This window comes from Homo sapiens, chromosome 1 (assembly GCF_000001405.40).
Source record: "Homo sapiens chromosome 1, GRCh38.p14 Primary Assembly".
Lineage (NCBI taxonomy): Eukaryota > Metazoa > Chordata > Mammalia > Primates > Hominidae > Homo > Homo sapiens.
Window position 1 is genome coordinate 117,451,268 of NC_000001.11, and position 24,828 is coordinate 117,476,095.

Here is a 24,828-nt window from a genome sequence, read left to right on the forward strand (position 1 = left end):
TGTTTTGGCCAATTTATCCCATTTGGAATGGCTGTATTTACCTAATGCCTGTACACCCATTGTATCTATAAAGTAACTAACTTGATTTTGACTTTACAGGCATGTAGGCGGAGGGGACTTGCCTTGTTTCAGATGAGACTTTGGACCATGGACTTTTGAGTTAATGCTGAAATAAGACTTTGGGGGACTGTTGGGAAGGCATGATTGGTTTTGAAATGTGAGGACATGAGATTTGGGAGGGGCCAGGGGCCGAATGATGTGGTTTGGCTGTGTCCCCACCCAAATCTCATCTTCAATTCCCATGTGTTGTGGGAGGGACTCAGCGGGAGGTAATTGAATCATGCTATTCTTGTGATAGTGAATAAGTCTCACGAGATCTGATGGTTTTAAAAAGGGGAGTTTTGTTACACAAGCTCTTTTCTCTTGTCTGCCACCATGTGAGATGTGCCTTTCACCTTCCACCATGATTGTGAGGCCTCCCCAGCCACGTGGAACTGTAAGGCCATTAAACTTCTTTCTTTTGTGAATTGCCCAGTCTCAGGTATGTCTTTATCAGCAGTGTGAAAATGGACTAATGCAGCATGATGGTGCATGCCTGTAGCCCCAGCTACTTGGGAAGCTAAGGTAGGAGGACTGTGTGAGTCCAGGAGGCGGAGCTTGCAGCGAGCTGAAATTGTGCCACTGCACTCCAGCCTGGGGGACAGAGCCAGACCCTGTCTCAAAAAACAAAACAAAACAAAAAAACAGAAAAAAACCCAGCCAGGCACAGTGGCTCACACCTGTAATCCCAGCACTTTGGGAGGCCGAGGAAGGTGGATCAGCTGAGGTCAGGAGTTCGAGACCAGCCTAGCCAATGTGATGAAACCCCATCTTTACTAAAAATACAGAAACTCGCTGGGCATGGTGGTGCATGCCTGTAATCCCAGCTACTTGGGAGGTTGAGGCAAGAGAATCACTTGAACCTGGGAGGCGGAGGTTGCAGTGAGCTAAGATTGCGCCACTGCACGCCAGCCTGGGTGACAAGAGCAAGACTCTGTCTCAAAAAAAAAAAAAAGTTGGAAATAATTAAGCTTAGTGAGGAAGGCATGTGAAGTAATTAAGCTTAGTGAGGAAGGCATGCCAAAAACTAGGCCTCTTGTGCCAAACAGTTAGAGTAGTTGTGAATGCAAAGGAAGAGTTCTTGAAGGAAATTAACAGTGCTATGCCAGTGAACACATGAATGATGAGAAAGTGAAATAGTTATATTGCCAACATGGAGAAAGTTTGAGTGGTCTGTATAGAAGATGAAACCAGCTACAACATTCTCTTAAGCCAAAGCCTAATGCAGAGCAAGGCCCTAACTCTCTTCACGTCTGTGAATGCTAAGAGAGGTGAGGAAGCTGCAGAAGAGTTTGAGGCTTACAGAGGTTGGTTATAAAGTTTAAAGAAGGAAGCTGTCTCCAAAACATAAAGGTGACAGGTGAAGCAGTAAGTGCTGATGTAGAAATTGCAGCAAGTGATCCAGAAGATCTAGCTAAGGTAATTGTTGAAGGTGGCTACACTAAACAACAGATTTTCAGTGTAGATGAAACAGGTTTCTACTGGAAGAAGATGCCATCTCATAGCTAAAGAGAAGTCAATGCTTGGCTTTCAAGGACAGGCTGACTCTTGTTGGGGGCTGATAGAGCTGATGATTTTAAGTTGAAGCTAGTTCTCATTTACTGTTCTGAAAATCCTAGGACCTTTAAGAATTTTGCTATGTCTACTCCCTGTGTGGTCTGTAAGTGGAACAACAAAGTTCAGATGAGAGCACATCTGTTGATGGCAGAGTTTAAGCCCACTGTTGAAACCTACTGCTAAGCAAAAATCTCTTTCAAAATATTACTGCTCATTGACAGCGTACCTGGTCACCCATTTTCTACAGTGAAGATGCCCAAGATTAATGTTGTTTTCATGCCTGCCAACATCCATTCTGCAGCCCATGGGTCAAGGAGTGATTAAGACTCTCAAGTCTTATTATTTAAAGAATGAATTTTGTAAGGCTATAGCTGCCATATATAGTGATTCCTCTGACAGATCTCAGCAAAGTAAATGGAAAATCTTCTGGAAAGGAGTCACTATTCTAGATGCCATTAAGAACATTTGTGATTCATGAGAGGAGGTCAAAGTATCAAACAGGAGTTTGGAAGAATTTGATTCCAGTCCTCATGGGTGATTTTGAAGGGTTCAAACTCAAGTGGAGGAAGTAACTGTAGCTGTGGTGGAAATAGCAAGAGAACCAGAATTAGAAGTGGGGCCTGAAGATGGGACCAAATTACTGCAGTCTTATGATAAGACTTGAATGGATGAGGAGTTGCTTCTTACAGATGAGCAGAGAAAGTGGTTTCTTGAGATGGAATCTATTCCTGGTGAAGATGCTATGAACATTGTCAAAATGACAATAAGGATTTAGAATACTACGTAAACTTAGTTGATGCAGCCAGTGTCAGGATATGAGAGTGGCCTCCAAGTTGGAAAGAATTTTTACTGTGGACAAAATGCTGTCAAACAGCATCACATGCTACAGAGAGATCTTTCGTCTTGCAGAGAAATCAAACAGGAAGAATCAATCAATACAGCAGACTTTATTGTTGTCTCATTTTAAGAAATTGCCCCAGCCACCCCAGCCTTCAGCAGCCACCACCCTGATCAGTCAGCAACCATCGTCATCAAGGCAAGACCCTCCACCATCAAAAAAGAGTATGACTTGCTGAAAGTCTCAGATGATCATTTGCATTTTTAGCAATAAAGTATTTTTCAAATTAAGATATGAACATTATTTCCACATAATGCTGTTGCACATTTAAAAGGCTACAGTATAATGTAAATATAACTTTTATATATACTGAGATACGAAAAAGTTTGTGTGACTCATTTTGTTGCAATATTTGCTTTATGGAGGTAGTCTGTAACCAGGCCCATAATATCTCTGAGATATGCCTGTTTTTAAAGAAGTAATGTCTAGAAATTTTTCAGATTTGTTAAACAGCTGTAAATTCACAGATTCCAACATTTGATGGAACCCAGCAGGATAAATATAAAGAAACATGACGTCTGAAAATCTGTGACTAGAAAAAGAAAAGTTAAACAGCCAGAGAAGAAAGGCATTTACATTGGGGAACCAAAATAGAAATACTTCCTTCTTATCATAAGCAATACAATCCAGAAAACAATCGAATCCATCTTGAAAGTGTTGAAAGAAAAAAGTCGATCTCAAATTCTATAGCCACTGAAAATATTCTTTAAAAACAAAGGTGAAATTAAGACATTTTCAGGCAAACAAAAGCTTAGAGAATTTATTGCCAGCATACCTGTATTGTTAGAAATTTTAAGGAACTTTCTAATGACAACAGATGGAAAAACAGATTTACACAAAGAAGGGAAGGGCACTGGAAGCAGTAAATATTTGAATAAATATAAAAGGCTTATTTTTTCTGTTTTGGTCTTTGTTTAAAGCAAAAATAATAACTCGCATAGTGGGGCCTATAGTATACATAGGAGAAAAATTTGTTACCACAGTAGCACAGAGGATAGTATGGAGACGTGAAGCCCTTACATTATATGTGAAGTGGTATAATATATAAAGGTCTACTGTGGGAAGGTTAATGGTTTATGTTGTAATGCCTAGAGCAGTCATAAAAAAATAAGCCGGTAAAGAAAATGGAATACTAAAAACTACTGAATCCAAATGAAGGCAGGAATAGAGAAGGAAACAACTAATGGGAAAAATAGACAATGAAAAGGCAAGATAGTAAACTTAGGTTGGTAGGATGTAAAATGGTAGAGACACTTTGGAAAACAGTTTGACTGTTTTTCAAATGTTTATCACATCAATAGGATATAGGTAAATAGTTGTCATATTCATCCAATGGAATACCATTTAGCCATAAAAAGAATCTAACTGCTGAGACACACAGCAATATGGGTGAATCTCAAAGACATGTTGAGTGAAAGAGCCAAACACAGGAGCATATACTGTATGATGTTTGTATGAAATTCTAGAACATGCAAGACTAATCAGTAGTGAGAGGAAGCAAATTGAGAATTGTTTGAGACTTGGTGGAGGAAGTGTGTGTGTTGATTGCAAAAGGGATAAGGACATGTTTTGGAAGGATTGACTTGGTTTGTATACCAGTCTTTGTTTTCATTTGTCATAACCCATTGAATGGTGTACCTGAAAGGATGCATTTTTGTATGTAAATTATACGTCAGTATATACTTAAAAAGAAAAATAAACCAGATCCTACACTTGGCTGAGGGGCTGTGTAATAACAAAAAATAACATTACCTTATAATTGAAGGACAATCTTAACTTTGAAAACATATTTAGAAAAAAGTTTGTAAAAATACAGAATTAAAATTAGAAGAGACCAGTGAGTATTTAAAATGTAATAGACAACTCAAATTATGCTTATGCAGTTTTCCAGAAGGATAGATGAGAATGTGTTAACAGATTGCTTTGGTACTGAGAGTGATTGGAAGAGGTAGAGGGCTTAGAGAGATACTTTTTTTTTTTTACTTTATGCTTTTTCAGTGCCATTTAAATTTTAAATCATGAGTATATTACATATCCTCTCAAATTAAATGAAAATGTAACAAAAATCAGACTTCATTTTAAAATAAAAATTAAAGCTGTTATATTCATCTGCTGTCAAACAAGGAAGTTTTTACTTAAAAAATTTTTAAAGCATCTGCTATAATAAAAAGGTGAGAAGAAAGCCATTCTTACATTTCAGCTTTACTTGTAGACTAGTGTATTATCTGTCAAAAGCCCTTAAAGCTTGTTTCTTTTGACCCAGCAATTCAACCTTTGTTAATGTGCCCGAAGAAATTGGATGTATGGACTAAGGAAGACATCTACAAAATTATGTTTATCACGGCGTATTTCACAAAATCATAAGTACAGGTTGAACGTTCAAGAGTAAGGTCATTTGTTAAGCAAATTTGGTAGTCCATAAGGTAAAACAATATGTTGCCACATAAATGATATCATAGATAAAATATTTACAGTATATTAAAAATGTTTTATAAGCCAGATTATGGCATCATATAATGAGAATGACCATATAGTGTGTTGTTCATAAGAGTACAATTTAAGAATGAATGGGGGAGCTGAAATAATTAAAACTATTTAATTTTCTGAGTATTTAATCACTGACAAATTGGTTTTATTTTATTGGGTATCCTGTAAAATAATTCTGCTATAAACCTATTTTCTAAAATGAAATTATTAAAAACATACATTCTTGTGTATTTATCTAAATTTGAAATTATTGGCACTTTCAATTGACTCTTGTATGCTTTTATTAGAGAAGGTATTCTCCCTACAGTTGCTCAGAGCAAATTCTGCTTAATTTTAGGATATTCTCAATTCTAAATTTTTGCATATTAAAATGTTTAAATATTTCAGACCAGATATTTTTACAAATCCCATTCTTTTGCTTTCATTCAGAATACCTTCCACAAATCTGAGATATTTTTACATTGACTTTTATTTGTAATTATTTTAAATAATCATCCAGTTTAGATGATACAGAATCATAGGGCTTCTCAATTTCATTCCATTGAAGTATACAATATAAATAAATCTAATTGAAAATAGGAGCTCCATCAAACCATTATTCCTACAAATGAAGATACTTCAACTTAAGCTTACACATTGAGTGTTTTAATTTCTTCAGTTCATTCTTTGCTTTTGTCGGAATGCATTTCAATATCAGTGTGTTTGCAAGCTTTGTTTCTAATAATTGCAGTTTACTGAAAGCTTTACTCCATTCTTTCAATACATTGATTAAATATATTCGACTGACTTTGAACAAAATGCAAACCAAAATATAGAAGACTCATTATCAAAACAATTTAATATGATTGTAGACCACTTAGGGTGATTTACTGTCAAGAGTTTACCAAACATTTTTAGAATCTTTCCTTTTGCTGGTGGTCAGGTAAGAGAAACATACGTTTTGCTTGCTTGTTTTTGTTTTTTGGTATTCATTGCAAATTTTTTGTTACTCAGGTTCTCTGAGTATATACGTAAATTTTAGTATCCAGACCTTTTATTTTGATCAGTTGAGAAAAAAACATAACATTTGCATGAAATGATGATCCGGTTATTTTTTGGCAGCTCATCATCATTTTATAGTTGGAAATTTTGTCCTCGGCAGCATTATATCTTGTTCTTAGGGATTTTCTTATTTTTCTGAGTTGCTAGGATATATGTAAGTATCAAATTTAATATTTTAGATTCTTCCTGTGACACTATGTAAAAAATTTAAAAACCTTATTTAGAATTTAGTATTTTGAAAAGTGTTACTTTTTGACTTTTGGCGAGATGTTCTTTTTATAGAGAATGGCAAACTGTTGGACTTCCTAAGTTTTGTTTTTATACTTGACCACACTATAATTCATCCGCTATGCTGAAACCTAGTTAATCTTTCTAAATGGTATGCTTTATTCCTTAAGTATTATGTTATAATCCTTAAAGTTATTCATGACTTTCCATCACACTTAAAGACTAAAATTTTACCATGGCCTACAAAATTATTTCATAGTCCAGATTATACCTTGCTTTCTAACCTCATCCTGTGTCATTCACTTCCCCTTACTTTCTGAACTCTAGCCAAACTAGCCTCCTTCCTTTCCCTCAAGGCCATTACATCTGCTGTTTCCCTTACTGGGAATTCTGTTCTTCCAGATATTTTCATTAGTGGCTCCTCATCATTCAGGTCTCAGTTCAAATCATATCATTTTAGAAACATTTTCTCTGAACATAATATGTAAAAAGCCTTTTTTGTAACTCACTTTCTATCTCTAGTACTCAACATTCTATTTTTCCTTTTTAATTTTCTTCACAGCAACTATCACTATTTAAAATGATCTTATTTATTGTAGGAGCAGGAATAGTATATGTCAGGTTCACCACTCTCTCACAGCATAGTAAACACTTACATTTGTGAAATGAATTACTGTCTTATGTAGTTACTATATCCATATTTATTCTTTGATTCTCACTTCTAGCTATAAAATATCCTAGTGGTATTTGCCTTCCATATTTTCAGACAGTTTAAAAATAGCACCAAACAATGAAGGAACTTTAAGCAAGGTTGTGATATGTTCTTACATCTATTTTAATGTTCTCTAAACACAAATAAAATATAACATATTGAATTGACAGAATACAAGTGAATATAAGATGAGAAATATATATATATCTATATATATATATAGATATATATATATTTTTTTTTTTTTTTTTGAGACAGAGTTTCGCTCTTGTTGCCCAAACTAGAATGCAATGGCGCAATCTTGGCTCACTGCCACCTCTGCATTCTGGGTTTAAGCGATTCTCCTGCCTCAGCCTCCTGAGTAGCTGGGATTACGGCGCCTGCCACCATGTCCGGCTAAGTTTTTGTATTTTTAGTAGAAATGGGGTTTCACCATGTTAGCCAGGCTGGTCTTGAACTCCTGACCTCAGGTAATCTGCCCACCTCGGCCTCCTGAAGTGCTGGGATTACTGGCGTGAGCCACCGCGCCTGGCAAAAATATTTATATTTATACTTCTCCCAAAAAATAAGACAAGATCCTAGAGAATGGTCTAGAGTTCTTGTAGGAATAATCCAGGAACTCTGCTGCTTGAATCATCTAGACTTCCAGTTCCAACCAGGAAATACTGTTTATCAGACTACCCTTCTACCAAAAGCAGTCATGAAAGCTAGACAAAATATATAAAACCAAATGGTTTGAAGACACTGAAATGCAATTAGGTAGAGCTTGAGGGGCTGTGATCCTAAGGTCATCGCCATATAAACATTGGCTTTTTCCCTGAGGATATGTTCTAAAACATGTTCAGAGCAATAGAGGCCATATCTAAAGTGGCAGTCATTTCGGGCAGAGGAGACAATGGTCAGGCCCCAGAGCTGCTAAAATGACTGAAACATAGGGACAAAATCTCATATAGAAAGAAATTGCAGAGGAAAAGCCCAAAATTTATGGACAAATTTCCCTGAAGTCATTGGTGATTCCATAACCACATATATGGGGCAAGCAAGACTCAAAGAAACCCAGCAGAAAATAGCAGAAGAAATTTAAGGGCTAAGGAGGAAATTTAACAGCCACATGCTAGTGGGGAAACAGAGGTTAGGCTGCTTAGGTGCCCTTGGTAAATACCCCTGGCTTCCAACTGAAATTCCCAGGGCCATTTCTGGAAGTTGGGGTAAAAACGGAAATGGACTATTTTTAACAAAACCTAAAACACAATGTAATCTGCATTTACTCAGTCTGTGTTCAGAAGAAATTTAACCTTTTTAGAAGATAATGTCATTCAAAGCCTCTACAATTTTTCATTTTATGTAGTTTGCCTTCAGATAAAAAATTACTAGACAGATTAAAAAAATAAAACGCAAGAGCATATTCTAGAGATTATATCTGCACAAATGAAATGTTTATGAGATTATTCACTGAAAAATGTTCATGGTAACAAAATATTGGAAATAGCCCAAGGGACCATCAATAGGGAATTTATTAAATTGTGTATATTTATGTAATATATTAATTTTCACACAGGCACTATCATCGTTTGGTGCAAGCCAGTTCTTTATTGTATGATACTGTCCCGATCATTCACTACAGGGCAGTTTATAACTTTGGACCTGGCACAATAAGTGGAGGTTGCACATTCAAATTTTGAGACAACTCAAAATGCTCCCACACATTTTCATGTGCCTCTAGGGTGGGGCATTCCACTTGAGAATCATTAATATTATGGAATTCCGTACAACTGTAAAAAAAAAAAAAAAACTGAGAAAGTTGTTTATGAACTGATATGGAAAGACCACCAACTTGCTATGTTTTGTTTAAGAAAGGAGGACAATGAGCATATATATTTGGATTGCCTACATTTGCATAAAACATTCTGTAGTAATATGTAAGAAACGAATGAAAGTGATTTTCTGTGGAGCCTGATGAGGTGAATGGAGATGAGAATGGGTGAAATGTATTTACTGGATTTAAAAACTACTGTTTTAATTTTTAGAACATGGATTTATTACCTATTTAAATTTTTAATACAATTTTAGATATAAATAAGCTATCGTGTCAGATATAATAATTTATAAGAGATCTATTTAAAATTTACATATTCATTAAACGAATGTTTTGGTCTTTTCCCAATCCTGTGTCTCCTTTTACTTTTCCTTTTCATTCAGTGGAGTAGGGCGAAACTGGGGCTGGGCATCTGCAGGTAGCAGCATTCTGGCTGAATTTGGTACACTACATATGGAGTTCATCCACCTCAGCTACTTGACAGGGGACCTGACTTACTACAAAAAGGTTTGTTTTCTTGCCTTCTATTCTTTGTTTGTTATAAAGAGTCCTTTAAGATTGGCCCAAAGATTTGATTAATGCTTAAAAGGTTTGCCTTTCTAGATATATGTTTATTAGGGCTGTAGCCTTTATTTTTTCTTTTGAAGTTACTCAAAGAAATGTCCTTTCTATTTAGAACATATTTAAAATATGTATTGTTATTTGAGAAGTTATAACCACTGTTACATTTTTCAAAAATTTCACTGCTATTTTTATGCAGCATTGTGCTGCGGTACCTACCCAGCCTGGTAAGACAAGAAAAACAAAATAACCAGATGTTTAGGAATTGAAAAGGAGGAAAGAAAACAGTAGTTATTCACAGATTACGTGATTATTGACCTAAGATATTAAGACAGTCTATATTTAAATTACTAGAAATAAGAGTTTAATATGTTTTTTTAAATAGATGATCAATATGGATGTTAAAAATCAGTAGCATTTCTCTACACCAGCTACAAAAGGCAAGAAAATGTCATTTTGCAAAAAGATATCTTATGTAATAGAACAAAAGTATATATGTTTCCTACAAATAAATCTAACAAAAGATAAAGTTCAAATTTTTACTCAGCCATGGAAAAGAATGAAATCCTTTCATTTGCAGCAATATGGATGGAACTGCTGGAGGACATTATGTTAAGTGAAATAAGCCAAGCTTAGAAAGACACGTATTATGTGTTCTCATTCATATGTGGGAGCTAAAATAAATTGATCTCACGGAGGTAGAGAATAGAATGGTGGTTATCAGAGGCTTGGAAGGGTAGTGAGGAGAGAAGGATAAAAAGGGGTTGGTTAGTGGGTACAAAAGTACAGTTACATAGAATGAATAAGATCTAATGTTTGATAGCACAATAGAGTGACTATAACAATGATTTGTTGTATATTTCAAAATAGCTAGAAGAGAAGACGTAGAATGTTTCCAACAGAAGAAATGATAAATGTTTGAAGTGATGGATGTTTCAGTTACTCAAATTTTATCATTATACATTATATGCTAGTATCAAAATATGTATAACTCTTTATATCCATAAAAATTAAAAATAAAAATTTAAAAATACAAAACTTTATTAAATGATATTGAAGAGGATATAAATAAATGGAGAGATATCGTATTTATATATAGGTAAACAATATCATAAAAATTTCAGTCATCCCCAAATTGATTTATAGCATAAATTCAGTGCCAATAAAATCTCTAATGGCCTTTTTCCTCCCAGTGGAACTCGAAAAGACACTTCTAGAATTTATACAGTAAAGAAACATTCTAGACACTTGTGAGGAAAAACACACTGGCTGGATTTACATTGCCCAGTTATCAACATTGACAGTATAGTATTTGTTAATAGGGACAAACAGACTGACAAACAGAATAGATAGCTCTTAAACAGACCTACATATATGTAGAAACTTGTTTTAACAAGTGTCGCACTGTGGATTATAATAGTTAATTCCAGGAATATTAAAGGCTTAACTTTAAAATATAAAACCCTGACACTTTGAGAATAAAAAAATATATGCCCTTGGGGTAAAGAAGGATTTTTACAATGGGAAACAAAAAATATTACCTAGTAAAAATACCCTGTAACCCAGCAATTCCATTATTCGGTATGTACATTTACATTGTATACGTAGAAGCATTGTTTATATTGGCAATTTATATAATAAAATACAAAATAGTAATGAAAAATGAATTATGTTTATATCTGTTAGTTAAAAGAATATGATACAATTTTTATAAAGTTCAAAACAAAGCTGAACAGTATATTGGTTAGGGATTCAAAATGGTTTTGATAAATTGTTGAAGTAAAAATAATATATAGAGATGAATCTCTAAATTAAATGTTTTATTTGGAAGCACAGAACTCCAATTCAGGGCATACACACAGAGTAGGGTGGTTGGTCCTCAGTACATCCAGAGAACAAAGAGAAGGTTGGAAGTTTTATTAGAAATGTTATGTATAGTTTTGAAAGGAAATGTGTTGACACGAGTAAAGCTTCTAGAAGCTGTCTGGCTCTGATTGGTGATGGCAGTAGATAAAACTATAATCTTAGGGTTATAGCAGCTGAGCTTGTGGAAAACGTAATTTTTGGAGCTGGTGTTATGTGCCGCAGGTGATTTTCTGCTGGGCCCCTTGACTCTGATTTAGTTGGGTATGACAAGAATGACCCAATTCGTATAATTTGCTTTCACAAAGTCAAGATAATGACAAATATGAAACTCAAGACTACAGATACATCTGGGATATGGGGAATAGTATGTGAATGGGCAGTGAACAGACCATCAAAGGTGTTCGTAGTGTTGTATTTCTTAAATTGAGATGTGAGTAGAGTCGAGATATATATGTATATTCCTTTCTGTGTATGAAGTACTTCATCAACAGAGAAGAATTTTCAGGAAAATGGAACTAGATGACATAATTTTCCCTGTTCTGACTAAATAAATAATAAAAATTAAATATTTTTATATTAATTATGTTAAAAATTATTTTTATATCAATTATATTAATAAAAATATTAAAGACAGTACAAATTCATCAAAGGCAATAAAAGAAGGAAAAAATGTAACTTCATGTCATATTTGATAACCAAAATAAACAAAAACGAAAAGATTTCTGATTTCTGGAATGAGACATAAGTCTGCTTCCTACCGTATCCTGAAACCTTTCTGGGAAAAGAGAGTCAGCCAACTCCTAGTATTCCCTATCTGTCTTGCCAGGGAGACCAGTGCCCAGGGCGTCAAATATGTAATTGCCTACAGCTCCAGCAGAGTTCTCACCTCTCATCCTTCCTGAACACATAGGCTTCAAGTGATCAAGTAGAAGTACACTAGTACTCCAGATCTCAAATTGTATCCAAGAAGGGAGAAACACACACATACACACACACACACACACACGAGGAACTCAAGGAGAAATCAACAAAGTTCAGGTCAGAACTGACCCTGGTAAATGTGAACAAGATAAAACAGAAAGCATGGCAATTGTGCAAACATACTGCTAGAAACAAAAGCAGAGTGGTATATAGCATGTAGAAGACTGATAAAGAATCCAGTTTCAAATTTTAAAAACAGTAAAAAAAAAAAGTCACCATGAGTAATTCATACCATAATAGAAATTAAATTTAACAGAGTTAGAACTCAGAACCAAAATAAAACAATAAAGTGATACAAAAATATTGTGGAGCTAAAGAAACAAGCTGAGACCTAAAATGATGTATCCCCATAGCTAATGGAAAACAACAAAGAACTCGTTGCACATAGTTAAAAACTGAATTACTTACATGGAATAAAAGCAAGAGATAGTCATAGTCAAAACAAAGGAAAAGCAGAGATTAAAAAGATAATAGATTTGTAAAATAAACATAATTTAACGTATGGGCCTTCCTGAAGTAGAAGACCTAAATCATAGGAATTAACCTAAAAGCTGCAAGAAGAAGAAACACTGCTGGGCACAGTGGTTCACACCTGTAGTACCAGCACTTTGGGAGGCTGAGGTGGGTGGATCGCTTGAGCTCAGGAATTCGAGACAAGCCTGGGCAACATGGTGAAACCACTTCTCTACCAAAAATTAGCCATGTGTGGTGGGGCGTGCCTGTACTCCCCAGCTACTTGGGAGGCTGAGGTGGGAGGATCACTGAAGCCTGGGAAGCAGAGGTTGCAATGAACTGAGATCGAGCCATTGCACTCCAGCCTGGGCGACAGAGCAAGACTCTGTCAAAAAAAAAAGAAACAGAACACTGCAAATTCCATTTCTAACAAAATTAAGGGATACTTGATGCTTCATAACACCAAATAGGAAGAAAAGTAGGCATATAAGCAGTAAAGATCAGAGAGAGGTTTGGTATAAATGGAAGAGAGGATGTTTGGGTCTGCAGACTGAAAAATACAAAGCCAGTAGAGCACAATTCTCTAAATTAGATGGTGTAACTTGACATACAAAACTCAAATTCTCATGAGCAGCAATGAGAACAGGATCACAGGCTAATGGTGAGTACTTCTTTGGACCTTACTAGATATAATGTGTTGAGAAGCTGGAAAAACAGAATCGAGTAAGGTTTCTCACAGACAAGCTGTTTGCGCCTGCGAACTTTGGTGAGGGAAGGGAATGAATGACAGATTCACTATTGTGCTGCATTTCCAATCTCAAGTGGCTGGGGAGAAGCAAAGTCTAAAAAAAACATTTATGTCTGGACTCTTACCTGGTGTTTTATGTCAAAACTTTCATTCAGGAAAATAGTAATGAGTAATTTGTTAAAAAAGAACAGGTACAGAATTTATACAAAGATATTACCAGAAAAAAGGAAAAGGAGGGAAAATTGTGGGCACAAAATACGTAAAAGAGCAATTGAAAATTCCAAGCAAATATCACCATGAGAGAAAACATAGTAAAGCCTTCATCTCTGTAGAACAAGTATATAAACAGAGATACAAGAGCTCAGAGACAATAAGATGTGATATCAGTAACAAAGTATAAGAAAAAATAGTTATCAACAAAATGAAGGCCAAAATGGAAGCAATACAAAGAAAAACAGTGTTCAAAATATAAGGAGCTTAGAAGACAAAATTGAGAAAAGCTAGTAAATGTGTGGAAATAAAAGGAGACAGAAAGAAAATGATAGATAAGGAAGAAAAAGAATAGTATACAGTTTTTGGATGACAGAAGAGTTAACTTTCTCACCTTTTATAACATCATTCAGAACTATCTAAAAAGTGGTCTATGGAATTTTTCAGATTGAGATTGTTATACATAGTGTTGGTCTCAAATGTGAAAGAACACAGGTAATATAGACAGCATCCCTGAGTCCATTCCTAAAACTACTTAAAGACAAAATCCAGCCAAATGAATGACGATGGGAAACCTTGTGGCAGAAGAATTGATATTGTACTCAGGTCCAGAAAAGTGAAGTATATATCAGGTCCTCTGAAAAAGAAAGTTTTCCCAAGTTTATACCAGCCAGGTTATTCATCAAATGTAATGACAATATTCTCAAACAAATAAGAGTACAAGGAACATAACACCTCCTCCCACCTCCAGGGGCCCCCTTAAAAGCACTTACAAAGTTCACCTAATCTATAGTTGAATCAAAATAAATCCCTAGGAAAGTCTCCAGCTTCTTAATATATTTCATGATTTTTCTTTCCCCCTTACTCTCAGGGAGATATTTTAAAATTTGGAATTTCAGGAACTTAAAGATATCTATTGTGGGAACAATATTTAAAGTTCAACAGTTTGTTTTACTTCATTTACTTTTTTATCTGTTCAATTCAAATTAATAACTTTTCAAAATACAATGGCATTTTATGATTCAATTCCTGTGAAGTTATTTCTGTTCTTATATTTGAATATATATGTGTTGACTGTGTCTAGAATGATGTTTAAAATAACTGATGTTTCAGATGGTATTTCTAGGTAGTAGCATGTTGAGATTTAAAATGGTTTCTATCTGTGCAGTTTTCTCTGTATTATTTTTATTATTGCTTGATTTTAAAATAATGAACACATATCATCTTATAAAAATGAGTCATTTAAGAAATAGAAGGCTTCCCTGACTTCCCCCTGCCCCTCCAACACACACACAAAGGCAGGGAATAGGTGTAGATTCTGAGTAAGAAAAAACACAAAGCCTACATTAAAACCAAGCCTTGATGACACTTATTTTTATTAATTGCATTCTTAATTTTATTTTACTCAGGTTATGCACATTCGGAAACTACTTCAGAAAATGGATCGTCCAAATGGTCTTTATCCAAATTATTTGAACCCCAGAACAGGGCGCTGGGGTCAGTGTAAGTATTCTAGTATACCTGAGGCTTTCTTAAAAAATTATTTGTCTGAAAACTCTTTGCTTGATGTTGTAAAAAGTACACTACGTGGAGTTAGAAACCCTCAGTGTCTAACCTTGTGGTCTGCTGGTGCTGTTCTTAGGCATGTTTCTGATCTCTCTTAGCTTCAGTTTTCCCACTTATAAAATGGAAATGTTAATAACATGTCTCCTAAGAGTATTTTATTTCCTGTATTGCTAAAATATAGTGTGGCAGTTTGAAGGTTGTACTTAAAAACTCTTATTAATAAATTATATCTTCATGTAAATAAAAGCACTGCTTAGGAGAGGGAGGTAGAGGAGGAGTATGAAAAACAAATGAGTATTTACTAGAAGGGGGGCAGTTGTTCTTGGATAAGCCATGTCTGTTCATTCATTTTAGAAGAGGGCATCCTGGCCTTCATTATTTACCAGTCTCTGTGCTAAGTTCTTAGAAGAGATTGAGATGGAGAAAGAACATAGGGCTTGGCCTGAATTCACAGGCTGGCAGGATAGGCTGACACATAAATGTTACTGTACAGGAAGGAACCAATTGTTATATGAAACTGTGGTAAAAATGATTCCCTCTGCCTGAGGGGAAAGTATTTTGTTTAGGGAGAGGGTAATTTTTCTTATTAGAACTCATTTATTTTTGAAGGAATTGATTTTTAAAAGTAACAACTAATATTTCTGTGGAAATGTGGAACTTACAGAATTTTAGTAATTGTAGGTTTATCAATGCTATTCTCTTTTAAAAGTTAGGAAAACAAAAACAAATAATAGAGATTGCAACTTTGCCGCTAATAAAACATGATTCAGTTATTTTTGAGACTAATGAAATCTTAAGTAGTAAATAAGAGACAAAAGTAATGATCATTTAATTTTAGTATTGAAAACACTGCTGATTCTGCCAGTAAGAAAATAAGCTGGTGTGAGTACCAAGAATAGGAAAACATTTGCCCTGGAATTGTCTTTTTGTTCCTTTCTAGGAAATTGTCTTTTATTTTATGAAAGGAAAGCAGATAGGTCAATATAATTATGTCTTTCATGGATCTGGGAATAGATCTCAATCTTCTTTGACTCTTTTTATACTTACTTTTCCTGTTTCCTGAAATTATTTACATATGACTCATTTTTCTCTTTATTTTGAAGAAGATAAAAGCTCTAATGCCTAGACTGAGTGGGAATGATATTTTCTGGAAAAACAAAACCCTGAGAGCTGCATTTCTAAAATGTAAAAACGTAGTTTTCTTATTTCAGATAAGAGTGACTGGATTGGATGTCTACTTAGTAATTTGGATGAATTCTATCAATCATAAATCTTTACCCCTGTGAGTTGTATTGAGATTTGAGAATATTATGATAATATAATGATATAATAATGTATATGAAAAATTATGTTCAGTTCCTGTCTTAGACTATATGCCAGTGTATATTCTATATGGTATTACTATTTAAATGTAAAAGATGAAATCATAAAAGTACTAAAAAAAGGGTTGAATATATAATCAGGAAAGCCTTTTCTAAGCATGTCATGTAAAACAGAAACTACAAAAAAAAGATGTCAGTTTTCCTGTATATTATTGTTAACCTCTGTATTAGTCTGTTCTCATGCTGCTATAAAGAACTGCCTGAGACTGGGTAATTTATAAAGGATAGAGGTTTAATTGACTCACAGTTCCACAGGGCTGGGGAAGCCTCAGAAAACTTACAATCATGGCAGAAGGGGAAGCAAACACATCCTTCTTCACATGGTGGCAGGAAGGAGAAGTGCCAAGCAAGGCGGGGAAAAGCCCCTTATAAAACCATCAGATCTTGTGAGAACTCACTCATTATCAAGAGAACAGCATGGGGGTAACATCTTCCTGTACCCACTCTCCAGAGTGTATATATTTGTATGCTTTTTGAGCCAGCAACTCATTTCCAGCAATTTATTCCAAATAAATTTTCAGAGCTATATATTAAAGTTTATTTACAATAATCTTGGGGTTGTTTATAATAGGGATAATTTGGAAGCAATCTAAAGCAGTTCTATCTAACAGAACTTTCTGTAATGAGGAAAAGATCCTATTATCTGTATTATCCAATACAGTAGTCACTAGCCACATGTGACCATGGAGCACTTGAAATGTTGCTAGTATGGTTGTGGAATTACATATTAAATTTTAATTTAATTAACTTACATTTAATTAGCTACTTGTAGCTAGTGCTTCTACATTGGACAGGGCAGTTTTTAAACGTCTTGTAATAGGGATTTGGTTAAATACATTTTGGCCTGTCCAGATATAGTATACTATGCAGCCATTAAAAGTTATATTTTAGAATACCTGACATAGATAAATGACATATCTAGAAAGATATTTAGAAAAGGAGAGGAAACACTATAGAAATAGAAACCAAAGTGTTATGTGTGGTTTTCTTTGAATTTGTGTTTTTATTTTCTCCTTTTCATTTACTGTTACTATCCAGATTTGATTATGAACATCTATTACTTTTGATGTTAGCTTAAAAACATTTTTAAATAAAAAGAGAATCCCATTTTCCATGCCAGTATAAGGATACTCAGAAAAGTAAATCACAGTTTGAGAATTGCCAGCCTTAAAATGATCAAAAGTACAACATTGATGACATGGAGGCAGGAGAGTCACTTGAACCCAGGAGGTGGAGGTTGCAGTGAACCGAGATTGTGCCACTGCACTCCAGCCTGGGTGACAGAGCGAGACCCTCTCTCAAAAAACAAAATAAAACAAAACCAAATCCAAAAAACAGAACTCTTTCTCTTCAACGTTGTGTTGAGAAAACTGGATAGCCATGTGAAAAATAATGAAGTTGAACCCTTACTCTATATTATCTACAAAAATTAACTCAAAACAGATCAAAGACTCTAAATTTGAGAACCAAAACTGTAAAACTCTTAGAAGAAAACATAGGGGAAAATCTTCGTGACCTTTGATTTGACACTGGATTCTTCAATATGACACCAAAGGCACAGGTAACAATACAAAAATAAAAGATAAATTGGATTTGATTAAAATTGAAAATTTTTGTGCATCAAAGCATACTATCTATGAGAAAGAAAGACGACCCACAGAATGAGAGAAAATATTTGCAAATCACATGTCTTTTAAGGGTCTATACACAGAATATATAAAGAACTCCTACAACTCACTAACAGAAGGCAAACTACCTACAACTCAACAACAGAAGGCGAATCACCAAATTAAATAATGGGTGAGGACTTGAATAGTCATTTCTGCAAAGAAGATATGCAAATGGAAAATAAGTACATGAAAAAGATGGTTAACATTAAAATACAAATAAACTCACTGAGATACCACTTCACAGCTACTAGGAAGACTGTAATCAAAAGGATGAAAAATAAGCATTGGCAAGGATGTGGAGAAGTTGGAACCCTTGTACACTGCTAGTAGGAATGTAAAATGGTGCAGCTGCTGTGAAAACCTAGCAGTTCCTTAAAAAGTTAAACATAGAATTACCATATGACCCAGCACTTCATCTCCTCTGTATATACCCAGAAGATTTGAAAACAGAGACTCAAACAGATACTTGTAGCCTAGTGTTCATTACATTATTTATGATATCCAAAAGGAGAAAGTAACTCAAATGTCCAACAGATGAATGGGTAAACAATATGTGAGTATAAACATACAATGGACTATTACTCAGCCATAAAAAGGAATGGAGTTCTGATACATGCTATAATATAAACAAACCTTGAAAACATTATGCTAATCAACAAAAGCCAGTCACAAAAGGACAAATATTGTATGATTCCACTTATATCAAATATCTAGAGTTGTCAAATCCATAGAGACAGAAAGTAGATTAGAGTTGACCAGAGGCTTTGGATGAGAAGAAAGTGGAGAAGAAAATGGAGAGTTATTGCTAGAGTTTGTATTTGCAGTGATGAAAATTTTTGGAAATAGGTAGTGGTGATGGTTTTACAGCACTGTGAATATAATTAATGCTGCTGAATGGTACACTTTCAAAATAGTTAAAATGGCAACTTTTGTGTTATATACATTTCATCACAATAAAATTTACAACAAAAAAGATAACTTTTATTCCTCTGTTTTTTCCTCACAAAATAAATTCAAATTACTTTATAATATATTCACTCTCAGCAGTTTTTAATTTCAGTGTTATAGAAAGAGCTATTCACTGGTTATTTTGGCAGAAGATCTTTAAAATCCTAGCGAGCTGCCCTGATATCCTTTTAGCAGCTGTAGTCCTTACAGAATTGTCCAATTTGTTCCTTTTAATGTTTTTGTATATTTTATATCAGCCTCTGAAAAGTATATCAAATTTTATTATTATCTTTGAGCTATATGCATCTGTCATATTTATAAATAGTCTGCAAAACAAACATTTAATTGAACTGAAATTTAACAATTCAGCTTTGGCTAACTGTATTATAATTAGAGTAATGATAATGTCTGTGACATGCACATAGCAATCACAGAAGATAATTACTGGTAATTACCTTCAGGAAAAGTGCTTGGCAACAGATGTAAAAGAATATAGCAAGAAACCTAGATTTAAAGGCAAATTACTAGTTTTTTTTTCTTTTCTAAAACTTTTTTTTTTGCTAGTTTTCTAAGCACAATACTTAGCCTATGTCATTTAATGATTAAAGTGAAGAAAATATAGGAAATCAGTCATTACTGATTCATTGTTTTATATTACTAAATTTATAATTGTGGAAAAAACAAGAATGGACATGTTATGCCCCTTTGAGTTAGAAAATGAATTGATTGTCTTGCTTAATAATTTAGATAATTTATTTAACTTCTCTATGCATCTTTATCTGTTCTCATTGTACTTATTTAATAGAAAATTCATGTGGATCATATTTATAATATGTTTGAAAATGCTTCAAATTAGTTTTTATTCTAGAATTTCCCATAAGAAGACTTCAAGAAATAGCTTCTGTTAGAAACCTGCCATTAACTGTATAACATGTTGAAATAAATCATATGAATCATTGCTATTTAGGAGTATTTTATAATATGTTAATCAATTTCTGAATATCAAAAGGACCTTAGAGTGACATGGTTTATCAAATTTGACATGTAGGCATATAATCTACAGGAAAGAGAAGTAGCTTCAAGTTCCTTAGTGGTATCCTTTTGCTTTAATGTAATTTCAGATGTTCTGTAAAGCAAGATGGACAGAATTCTCACTTGAGAAGGTTTTTTTTTTGTTTGTATATTTTGTTTTTATTGAAGATAATTGACAAGAAAATGTAAATTCTCTGTTCAATAATAAGGTTAATTTTGTTTTAATATGATTTGTTATTATAACATTTCTAATTCACATTCTTCCTTTTGCACTCAGTGAATATATATACTCTGTTAAAAGTTAAACAAGGCATATACCATAAGGTGTCATATTCAGATACTGAGAAGAAACCGGATCAGGTTTTGAGAAAACTAATGAAGGAACAAGATTAGTTTTATTCTGTTAAAACTGTCTATAAAATACATTGTAATAAATAGGCTAAATTAGGAAAAGGAAAGGCTTACAGCAGAAGGACATACTAGAAAGCTAATATAATACGGATCTGGATCTAGGATAGCTGTCTGTGGGAGTGGTAGTCATCATAGATTTTATCTTTCCCTTTGTATCCTACATTCATTCTTCACTAAGTCTTGTCAGTTCTGACTATTTCTGAAATATTCGTTTCCCCATTTTAACTGCACCTTTTTCCGTTTGGAATACCTTCCGCCTTCTCTATGTCCTCTTATCAATAAATTCCTACCTATTCAATGAAAACAGAAAAGGAAAATCCTAAGTTAAATAAACTATTCAAATATAGTAATCTCTCTTGCAACCACCTGTTAGGGAAAAGGAAAAATATTAGGGTATATATATAAATACCCATTAAAAGATTAATATCAATTTTATGTGTGATAGTATTATAGGAATATATTTTCTCTACAGGATGTTTGCATTCACTAATTTCACTGATACTAAATATCAACCACTGTTCCAGATGCTAGGTATATAGATGTGAACAAGTAGACAGTGTCCCTAATACCCTTGGAGAACTTACATTCTGCTGGAGAGATATGAAATAAACAAATACATGATGTGATGTAATATAATGGTAAGAATTTCTTTTTTCTTAAAGCACTTTTAGTTTCTAGGACAATACATTCTTTTGCTTTTCTCATAGCCTTACTTAGCTTCATGCTTCACTCAGTCTTTTTATTATTATTATTAGTTTTCTCCTTTTCTCCTAGCCTCTTAGTGTTGGAATGCCTTAGAGCAAGCTTGCCCAACCCAGGGCACTGGATGGCTTTGAATGCAGCCCAACACGAATTGATAAACTTTCTTAAAACATGAGATTTTTTTTTTTACAATTTTTAAAAAGCTCATCAGCTATCATTAGCGTTAGTGTATTTTATGTGTGGCTCAAGACAGTGCTTCCAGTGTGGCCCAGGAAAGCCAAAAGATTGGTGGACAACCCTGCTGTAGAGGTCAGTCCTCCATTCTCTCTTCTCTCCAGTGTCATAGTTTTAAATACCATTTACATGCTGGCATCTCTCAAATCTAGAACTCTAGTCCTCACCTTGTCCTTGGCCTCTGTACTCATATATCCAATTATCTACTTGACATTTTTACTTAAATATCTTATAGATACCTGAAACTTAATATATCTGTAAATGAGCTCTTCCTAATAATTCTATCCACCTCAAAACCTGTTATTCCTCCAGTCTTTCTCATTTCAGTTAATGGCAGGTCTATTCTTGCTCATGCCATAAATCTTGTTGTCATCCTTTACTTCTTTATCTCACACCCCACTCCAGTTTCTCAGCAAATTCTGTTCTGTCTGCCTTTGAAATATGTCTAGAATTCAATTGCCACTACCCTGAGCCAAGTCACCATCTCTTGCCTGGATTGTTATAATAAATAGCATCCTAATTGGCCTTTCTGTTTCTGCCTCTGCCCCTTTCAGTCTATTCCTAATACAGGAGCCAGTAATTTTTTACAAAGTAAGTCACATTATGCCATTTTATTTAACTCTTCATTACTTTTCATGTCAGAGTAAAAGCTAAAGTCCTTTTGGGGCCCTGTGATCTGGTTCTTATTATCTCTTTTCCTTCATTTATTCTTCTCCAACTACATTGGCCTTCTGTCACTTGTTGAATCCATTAGGCACTTCACCACCACAGAGCTATTGCAGCCACTACTCCCTTTGCTTGGAATGATTTTTCGAGAGATATTCACATAGCTCAATCCCTCACTTTCTTCAGGTTTTTTTACTCAAAAGTTACCTTTTCAATGAAGTCTTCCCTGGTCACCTTACGTGATAGGCGGAAGTACAGAAAATTGAAAGACATGTTTTATAGATTTCTTCCACCGAGTGGTCCATATTTTCTCTGTGAATTAGAAGGCATTTAACTGCTGATAGCAGAGAAGAAGGTAGAGCAGTAGGGGACTTAAGACAAATAACAAATATCTTCTTCAGGAAATAGGAAAGAACATTAATGAAGGAGTTATAAAAAAGTTGACAGGCAGTGTTGAGGCTCATGTTGATGGTGAAAACGGTAAATTTGGAGGTAATAGTAAAACAGACTGACAGCTGGGCTGACCCACAGTTGATGTTTAACTGTCTGGGTACAACAGGAGAACAGTGGAGTAAGGGTCTTGAATGGTTGGACAAGTGGGATTACCTGTTGCTTCCTTTCGTATTCAACCTGACTGCAAAGGATCCAAACTTATTTGAGAATATATATATGTATACTTTTCTCTTTCTATTTTATCTAACAAATCCCAAAACTCGTATCAACCCAGCCACCTACTTTTCCCATTTACATACAGAGTCAACTAAGCATTGCTGGTGAAAATAACAGTACAGATTAAAGTTACTATAAACGTACAATTTCCAGTTTTATGTGGATCACCAGTATTCCATGAGTTTTTTTTTTTTACTTTGATCAATTTACTTTCCTATTCTTTACTCTCCTTAAGTTTTCTATGTAACCCCTCTATCCATCTCCAGCTCTTATTTTGACCATTTCTTTATTTTCAAGTTCCTAGGCAATTTTAGTTTAGATATATCTTTAGTAAAAATAGTATTTATATAGATTTAAAAAATTTCAGTTTGAGAGTCTCAGTGTTTTAAAAACTGAGTCAAAACAACTAAATTGGTGGAGGTTACTGATAGATTTGGACTAATTCCAAATATTCTTTGGTTTTGTTTATTTTTGAAAAACTGCTTTATTAAGATACAATTTACATATAATAAACTGTACATATTTAAAATGTACAACTTGGTGTTTTAAAATAGGTGTACACCTATGGAAATCATGATCACAATCAAAATAGTGAACATATCTATCACCCCTTTTCCTCATACCCTTACATGTTCCTTCTCTCAACCTCCTCCCTTCCCCCTCCCCCAAAACAACTACTGATCTGCTTTCTGTCATTAAAGCTTGGGTTGCCTTTTCTAGAATCTTAGATAAATGGCATCCTTTATTTGTACTCTTTATGTGGCTTCTTTCAGCATAATTATTTTGAGATTGATCTATGTTGTGTATATCAGTAGTTCTGAGTGGAATTCCACTGTATGGAATACCATAGTTTGTTTATCCATTCTCCTGTTGATGGACATTTAGGTTGTTTCTGGTTTGGGGCTATTACAAATAAAGCTGCTATGAACACTGACTTACACACCTTCATATGTTCTCACTTCTCTCGGGGAATACTTAGGAATAGGCTGCTTTTATCAAATAGTAGATGTGTATGTTTAACTTTTTTAAGGAACTACCAAGTTGTTTTCCAGAGTACATATACCATTTTACATTGCTATCAGTAGTGTTTCTCCATATACCTGCCAACACTTGATATGATCAGTCTTTTAGTTTTAGCCATTTTATTACATTGTATTTTTTTTTCCTTTTTTTAAAAATTATACTTGAAGTTGTGAGGTACATGCCAGAACGTGGTTTGTTATGTAGGTATACACGTGCCATGGTGGTTTGCTGCACCCATCAACTCGTCATCTACGTTAGGTATTTCTCCTAATGGTATTCCTCCCCTACCTTCCCACCCACCGACAGGCCCCGGTGTGTGATGTTCCCCTCCCTGTGTCCATGTGTTCTCATTTTTCAACTCCCACTTAGGAGTGAGAACATGCAGTGTTTGGTTTTCTGTTTCTGTGTTAGTTTGCTGAGAATGATGGTTTCCAGCTTCAACCATGTCCCTGCAAAGGACATGAACTCATCCTTTTTTATGGCTGCATAGTATTCCATGGTGTATATGTGCCACATTTTCTTTATCCAGTCTATCATTGATGGGCATTTGGATTGGTTCCAAGTCTTTGCTATTGTGAACAGTGCTGCAGTAAACATATGAGTGCATGCATCTTTATAGTAGAATGATTTATAATCCTTTGGGTGTATACCCAGTAATGGGATTGCTGGGTCAAATGGTATCTCTGGTTCTAGATCCTTGAGGAATCACCACACTATCTTCCCCAATGGTTGAACTAATTTACACTTCCACCAACAATGTAAAAGCATTCCTATTTTTCCACAACCTCTCCAGCATCTGTTGTTTCCTGACTTTTTAATGATCGTCTTTCTAACTGGTGTGAGATGGTATGTCCTTGTGGTTTTGATT

The 24,828-nt window shown here is 34.5% G+C and overlaps 1 protein-coding gene across 4 annotated transcripts in view; it reads left to right on the forward strand.

The window, feature by feature from the left end:
- Positions 1–24,828, forward strand: part of MAN1A2 (mannosidase alpha class 1A member 2) — a 161,424-nt gene that overhangs the window by 83,819 nt on the left and 52,777 nt on the right. For 3 of the 4 annotated variants that reach the window (NM_006699.5, XM_006710302.4, XM_011540536.4), the window contains exons 7-8: positions 9,222–9,345; positions 15,067–15,160. The exons of the other annotated variant lie outside the window; for it this stretch is intronic. In NM_006699.5, coding sequence (NP_006690.1) covers positions 9,222–9,345; positions 15,067–15,160 — 218 coding nt within the window. The remainder of the gene's footprint in view (positions 1–9,221; positions 9,346–15,066; positions 15,161–24,828) is intronic. 4 annotated transcript variants of the gene reach the window in all.